This window comes from Homo sapiens, chromosome 8, assembly GCF_000001405.40.
Source record: "Homo sapiens chromosome 8, GRCh38.p14 Primary Assembly".
In the NCBI taxonomy this organism is placed as follows: Eukaryota; Metazoa; Chordata; class Mammalia; order Primates; family Hominidae; genus Homo; species Homo sapiens.
The window spans coordinates 123,808,227-123,815,705 of NC_000008.11; the positions used below are offsets into that span (position 1 = coordinate 123,808,227).

A 7,479-nucleotide genomic window follows, 5' to 3' on the forward strand; every position below is an offset into this window, starting at 1 on the left:
CTAACTGCTAGAATCCTAATATTGTGTATGCCCTTTAATTATAAGGAGAACCTGATTTGGCTTCTGGCTCAGATGTAAATGGGAGTACAGAGTCATTTGAAATGGTCATTGAGGAAGCAACTATAGATTCAGCAACAAAGCAAACCTCTGGTATGGTGCTAAAACTTTTTCCAATTTTATTAGACTAATTTCTGAGGTTTAACTTTTATGTTAAGGCATTTGCATGCCATTTGTCTATTCTTATTATTCATACGACTTTTAAATAAGAGTTTTCTAGGAAGCCTTTTTACATACTTAGAAAAATAATTCAAGTATTATAAAATTATGACTTGAAAATAATCTTATTCCTGTGGTAAATGTTTTGATTCATTCTCTCATCTTACAGATATCTTGCAATACTCTTTTTTGGGCAAATGACTACTTTGAACATTGGATGAAAGCTATGTACCTTCTCAGACACATGTTTATACCCTAAAAATGCCTATCCTGTTTAGAGATTAACTGACCCCCTTCAATTTCTTCCTCCCCTGCCAAGCCCACTGGTGGATATCAGTGGGGCAGGAGGAATCTATGAACTTCAGGTTAAGAAACCCTTGTCAGTTATATATAATATATACATAAGTAGATATATATGATAAAAAAATAAGTTTATGTATCCTTTCTTAGGTGCCACAACAGAAGCAGATTGGGTTCCTCTCGAGCTGTGCTTTGGAATTCCACTGTTCAGTTCCGAATTAAACCGGAAAGTTTGTAGGAAAATTGCTGCACATGGCCTTTGCAGAAAAGAGAGGTGAGGGTTTATATTCGCTGTCATATTTTCATATCAATTTTTAAGCTGTCAGCAAATAGTTACCATATCTTACTTTTATTCCACACATGAGCACAGTAATTGTTCTGTATATATTTGTTGATTGAATAGAGATCGCTAGTTTAAGGGTTTTGCTGTATTTTTCAAAATTAAATTTCACTAGATCAGAAATTAGTCACAGGCAAACATTTTGGGCACATGTTTTGATTATATTTATTTAGTAATCTAGGTGAGGTGAGGGTGTGGTGAAATGGGCATGCTGATATGGAGTATGAACCTAGATTTTAAAAAATGTATGTCTACAGAAAATTTCTCTGCATTTCTCTCACTCCTAACATACACACACTCATGTTATATTCTGTTAATAGTGATTGGTTTTTGTGGTGGAATTATGATGACTTTGCAAAATTTTCTTCACTTTCTACATTTTCTAAAATGGATATGTATTACTCCTTAAAGATGACATGTAGGTTTTATCTTATATACCAGCTCTGATCCATTGTGAGTAGCTGCTAAGAGGCAATGTTGTAAAGGTTCTGAGACAAACTGGGTTAGCAGGAAAGAGTATAATTGAATCTAATTGTCATGATAGGTGGCTTGGAGAGGTGAAATCCACAAGTCAAGATCTTCTTATTTTAGAAAATGAAGTTGGACAATAATTCATTTAAATGGTGTAATGTAGCTTTTATCAGAAAATGAAGAGTACTCAGTTGACAATTTCAACATCTATTCTCTAAAAACAAAGTAATATACATGAGTAAAAAATAGAAATACTATAGAACTTTAAAGATTACCACTATAATTTTTACTGACTTACATATTTGAAAAATATTTAGGTAGGTTGGTGTGTGTTTAATCTGTTATCAGGTTGTCTTTTGCAATTACTTTGGTTGTTTAAAGGTTGTGTCATAGTTGTCATTCCTCAGAGTGCCTAAATCTTCATTTGAAAAGTTTTCTTTCATTTAACATTTATGTTTATAGTAGTTGAATTTTTTTAAAACAATAACTTTGATTTTAGTTACACGATGTATTTTATTTCAAAATGGACTTTTAATGCATGACTACTCCCTATTATTAAAACAAGCAAAAATTTCATTGATGAGAAACACTGAAATTGTTTTTTAAGATGTTTTGTGATTGGCCAGGATATATAGATGCATTTAAATTGCTAAAATTAAACTCTTATGAGAAACTCATTCTTGCCTTTATGTTTGTTTTAAACTGTTTCTCGCCTTTTTTTTTTTCAGCCTTCAAAACCTCTTACATTCCAGTAGAAAACTCTCTCTGCAAGTCCTTAACTTTGTTCACTCATTCCAGGTAACAAAAACCAAAAAGTCCAAATGGTACTTGTACTGAGCTTTAAGTATGCACAACACTTCTGTGTTTGTTTTTGAGTCACCACAGCAGCAAGATATGAAATAAACATTAATTTTATTGTACAAATGAAGACATTGAGATTCAAGAAGTTAATGGACTTGCACATTTCACTCGCCAGGTCTTCGGAGACCAAAGCTTGATCTCTTTGTTCTGTGCCAGTGCTTTATTCAACAGAAATGTGTTAAGTGTCTTTTATGGGCTGTGTGCCATGCTAGGTGTTAGTTTTTGGTTATAGCGCACTTCCCAATAACTAAAGCGATTCTCCACTGCTGGGATGGGCTGTCTGTTGTGGCAGCGAAGGCCAGTGCTCTGGACTTCTTGTTTTTCCCCCATCCCCAAGGAAAGAAAGAATATTCTAGACTTGATTTATAGGTAAACTTTTAAAATAGAATATTTCTGTTCAGAATATCTAATTCAACGTTATGAAATCAATATTTTGGAGTTTTACTTCATTCATTCAGTTGGTAAATGCTTGACCCTGACCTATGCCAGATTCTTTGCTGAGTGCTGTGGAAACAGTGATGTGTAAGATACTAATGGAACTTAGAGAATGTTGTGGGAGACAATAATCAGATAAATATTAAGATATATAAGTTCTAAAAGATTTTAAAAAGTACTTTGAAGAAGCCAACTATGATGAAATCTGCAGGTAGACCTAATTTCAATAGGTGCAGGATAATATAAGCTGAAGCCAAAAAGTTGGAAAAGAATATTCCGGCAGAGCTTAGGTCTGTACTTCCTGTGTCTGGGAAATGTCCAGTGAACAAAGAAACAAATGAAGCCCAGTGTGGCAGAAACTTCATGAAAGAGGGGTAGAAGCAAGAGGTAAGGTTGAAGAAGAGGGCCGGAGCACGGTGTGCAGGGCCTTCTGGCATATGTTAGAGAACTAGTATTTTACGTTGAGTGCAAAGAGAAATGATTAAAGACTTTTAAACAGGGGAGAGAGGTTATTTCTGAAGGACTATTTTATAAAAATAGGCAAAAATGGAAATTTTATAAGGATGCAATAAATGGAAAAATTTCAAAATTCTGTCAATACTGGCCTGTCTGTTGTGGCAGTGAAGGCCTTGGCCATAGTGAATTAATAAATTAAACTAATTTGGGATATATTTTGGAGATAGGTTGATAAAACTTGATGATGAATTAAATGTGAGGAAAAGATTAGGGCTGTGGAGGGAAGGGAGGGGAGGGATCATGAATGATTCTTATGTTTTTTGATTAGCTGGATGTGTGAAATAGAGAAGACTGGGGAGGAAGAGGGGAGGGAAAATTTGAGAGTTCAATGATGGGCATACTGAGTATAGAGTGCATGGGGAAGCATCTGAAATGAAGTGTCAGATAGGTGGATGTTTGAGCATGGAGTCCTGGGGGGAGGTCTGTGCGGAATATATGAATCTGAGAAGCGTGGAGTAGGTGGATTATTCTGGTGCTTAGTGTTTTGTAAGGTTTTTTTTGTTTGTTTGTTTTGTTTTTTCCCCGAGATGGAGTCTGGCTGTGTTGCCCAGGCTGGAGTGCAGTGGCACGATCTCGGCTCACTGCAACCTTTGCCTCCTGGGTTCAAGCCATTCTCCTGCCTCAGCCTCTTGAGTAACTGGTATCACAGGCATGTGCCACCACACCCAGCTAATTTTTTTGTATTTTTAGTAGGAAGAGGTTTCACCATGTTGGCCAGGCTCGTTTTGAACTCCTGATCTCAAGTGATTCACCCGCCTCAGCCTCCCAGAGTGCTGGGATTACAGGCGCACAAGCCACTGCACCTGGCCTTTGTAAGTTTTTTTTTTTTTTTAGAGATTTTTCTTCTGTTAGGTAATACTTTGGGGTTAGGTTAGGTCTTGTAAAAATGAACTTTTGCTTTTCCCACAGTCTCGTAGCCTCTTATTTCTATTTAAAAGGACTTACTACAGTTTAACGTTGTTAGTCATTTTTGCACATATTAATACCTGTCATTGATTGCTTTGGGCTCACAGTGTAGATCTTTGCATCTCCTGTACTGCTTTGCAATCCATAAACACTTCTCAGGTAATCAAGGTCTCTCTTTCTCATTAGTTATATTAAGTGGTTTTGGTAAAGTGTTGAATATCATTTCTCTTGTTTCTTGATCTTTTAGGAAGGTGCTTCAATATTGGATATTCACACAGAGCCCAGTTTTTCAAGTTTGCTTTCACAGTCATCGTGTGCTGACATGGGTGTTCCACTTCCTGCAAAAAACTTAATATTTAAAGATGGTGTCTTATCAGAATGGAGTGGACGGTCACCTTCCTCACTTCTTATTGCTAATCTCCATTTGCAATAATTTGGTTACACCATTTGTTGCTCACACTTTCTGCCTTTTTTCTTTCTTAACGTTAGCTTTATAGTGTCAGCCACTAAAAAGCATCCTGCTGCTGCAGTGCAATTCTTGCTTAACTAATATTAAAAGTTGGGGAACATATTCATGTTTTCTGAAGTTTTGCTCATTATTGCACATCTTATTGCGACAAAGTGCTTTTTAGCAGCCAGCACTGTATTTTTTACCTTGAGACAATCTGCATTTCTTTTATAAAACTAAGTATATACTTTATAGGCTTTATGATGACTGTTATGTTTATAAGCAGTCACTATGAAAATTGCAATGGTAATTTTATATGTTAGTTTATCAAACATAAATCTTGTTTAATTTTATATTTTGTTACCTATACTTTGGGGGATCAAGGGAAGAGATGGAACTCTTCCTCTGAAAAGGCTTCTTGGTACTTAAAGTAGTAAAACTATAAAACAATAAACATCCAGTATTGAGAGATGATATGATAGGGCATTATGAATTCCTATGGGTGTCTGTAAATTATGTATGTCAGTTGGACATTGTAGAAGGTATGTAAATCAGCATAGTTGTGTATAACTTAACCTTGATTTATAAGGTCTTAAGATTATGACTATTCATTGACATCTCATGAGAAGCTTTAGAAGACTTTCTATTTTTAAACACCATTTATATGTGGACTTCTGTTGTCACTGACTTTGGGCTTTATATTTTCATAGAGTCTTTATGGAAAAAATAGAATTTATTTTCCACTCTTGTAGCTATAGCTGCTGCACACTTTCACCCTGATTTATTTTTTTGTTTCTTAGCTTTGATGTTTTCAAACCAAGGATTGTGATTTTAGGTTAGAATTACATATTAGAAGCATTAAGACTATGTCTTTGGATCAGAATGCTTTAGTGATAAACCTACTTTGAAGACATACTCTTAAGCAATCTGGATCTTAAATTTATGTGAATACTTTTTTAGAAAATGATAAAGAAAAATGGAATTACTTCAAAGTGTTTCTTGAGTCATTGATTCTTTTAGCATCTCAAATGTTAATTAGAATAATTGGAATCACTTTTTAGACTTTTCAAGTTACCTTCCTTGGGAAGTTTGTGCAGTGTTATAGTTTAGTTTAGCTCCTCTTACAGGGTAATGGTTTGCTAGTTTAAAACTGTAACCAAACGAACTGGTCAGACAACATATATCTAAAACACTTAAAATGTTAGGAAGTTTGGGAATGTTATAACCTAAACGTTTTTGCTGGTAACTTTTTGTTATTTATAGATATTTGTGTATTTAACATACATACTTCAGGAAATATATGCCTTTCCTAAAACTTAACCATGCATTCAATACCATGGCCTATCTATAGAATTGAATATTTTGGACCATGTTATCTGTGGCACAGTCAGTGCTGTGTTTGAGGTAAATGCAGTAACGGTTAGTTTTCTACTTTGTCTTATAGAAGGTAGAAACCATGTGTATGTTATGTTTGTCTATAAAAGAAAAAATACTAATATTAAATAATTTCTTACGACTCTGAGTCACTCACTTATTTTTCCAATAATTGATATTGTACATTCCTAGTGCCATTAGGTATGTATGTATGTAACTTTTACAGTTTTTCAGCTGAAAGTTGTAAGTATTTTTTTTTTTTGATCGGGGCTCTTTAATCTCATTTTAATTTCCTTTGTTTGAACTGTAGTTATTTTATTTATTCCTATATTAACCATCTAAACCAACTGTAATGACATGTACACTAATACAGAATTGAACATTTGTAGTTGTTGGCAGTGAACCCAGTTGTTGGTGAATTTAAAGCTTAAAATATGGGAATGATTTGCTGCTATATTTCCTTTGAGAGAGAAAGGAGGAAGAAATAGAACCTAATAGTGATCATGAATTTTAGGGAAAGTACCGAAGAACCATGGGGTCCCCTCTGGTTTCTTGTGTTGAATGAGGCAAGGGTAATCATCTGATTCCGAGCTGAAGACCTCTGGTCCTCTTAAGGAGGGAGAGTGCATTTTTAGAGCTTTTAGCAAAATGTGAAAAGCTGATGTTTGCGCCTTGCTTTGTGAATTTGGCTTTGTTTTACTTATACATTAACTCATGTAATCTCTTAAATCTTACAAGCATTGATCCATTTCAACAAAAAGGTAAATTTAAAATGCAGACTTTGTTATTTGCCAAAGAAGATTCATGAAAAATTTACGTCCAATTATTTTGCAAATAGTTAATTTCATTTGGCTTTTTACCATGTTCCTTCCTTTCTTTTTCCCGCTTCCTTAATGTAATTTAAACCCTGGCAAACATTCTTTAGAAACCAAGAGGAAAGAAAGAACAAATATCAAAAAAGACATAGAATTTAATATTGATACAATTTCACCTCTAAAATGGATTTGAAGAAATGCAACTTTATATCAAAAAATGTCATCTGATTTCCTTTGTTTCTTTTTTAAATTATGTAATCAGATGATTTTATGTTTTTTTTTCAGGGGAGCGGAATATTGGTTTCTTTTACTTGTTGTTTTCAGTTTTCTCTGCCATTCATGTTTCTTTTTTGTGTTCAGTGTTTCAAATACAATTTGTATTTAAGGATTTTAAAATACCAAACTGTAACTGAGTACAGTGGATCGTTTTCTGTTAGGATGTTAATATTATACAATGAAATCTATAAAGTGTTGTCAATTTGATTATTGACACATATAACATGTTTACAAATAAACTGTGGTATTGATCAAGTTACTATGAAAATGTGTTTAATTTTCTGAAAGTTCCTGTCTTAATTTTAAATACAACCATGGTTTGGTGCTGTGGCTTTCCTGTACTTAAAAAAAAAAAAAACCCACAAAAAACTTAATTATTTTGTAGTAATTTCAGATTTACAGAAACTGGCAAAGATAGTCAGATGTTCCCTGTACCCTTCACTGAGCTTCCCCTAGCGTGGACACCTTCTGTAAACTATGGCAGGTCTATGAAAACTCAGAAGTTAACCCTGGTACTAGTA

The 7,479-nt window shown here is 34.2% G+C and overlaps 1 protein-coding gene across 4 annotated transcripts in view; it reads left to right on the top strand.

The window, feature by feature from the left end:
- The window catches only part of FAM91A1 (family with sequence similarity 91 member A1), a 47,014-nt gene extending 39,788 nt beyond the window's left edge, over positions 1-7,226 (top strand). For 3 of the 4 annotated variants that reach the window (XM_047421405.1, NM_001317917.2, NM_144963.4), the window contains 4 exons: positions 46-150; positions 667-790; positions 2,056-2,125; positions 4,293-7,226. In XM_047421405.1, coding sequence (XP_047277361.1) covers positions 46-150; positions 667-790; positions 2,056-2,125; positions 4,293-4,478 — 485 coding nt within the window. In that variant the 3' untranslated portion in view covers positions 4,479-7,226. Of the gene's footprint in view, positions 1-45; positions 151-666; positions 791-2,055; positions 2,436-4,292 lie in introns of those variants that run through there. The other variant, NM_001317918.1, reaches the window with a different exon arrangement.
- Positions 7,227-7,479: the final 253 nt, after the last annotated feature.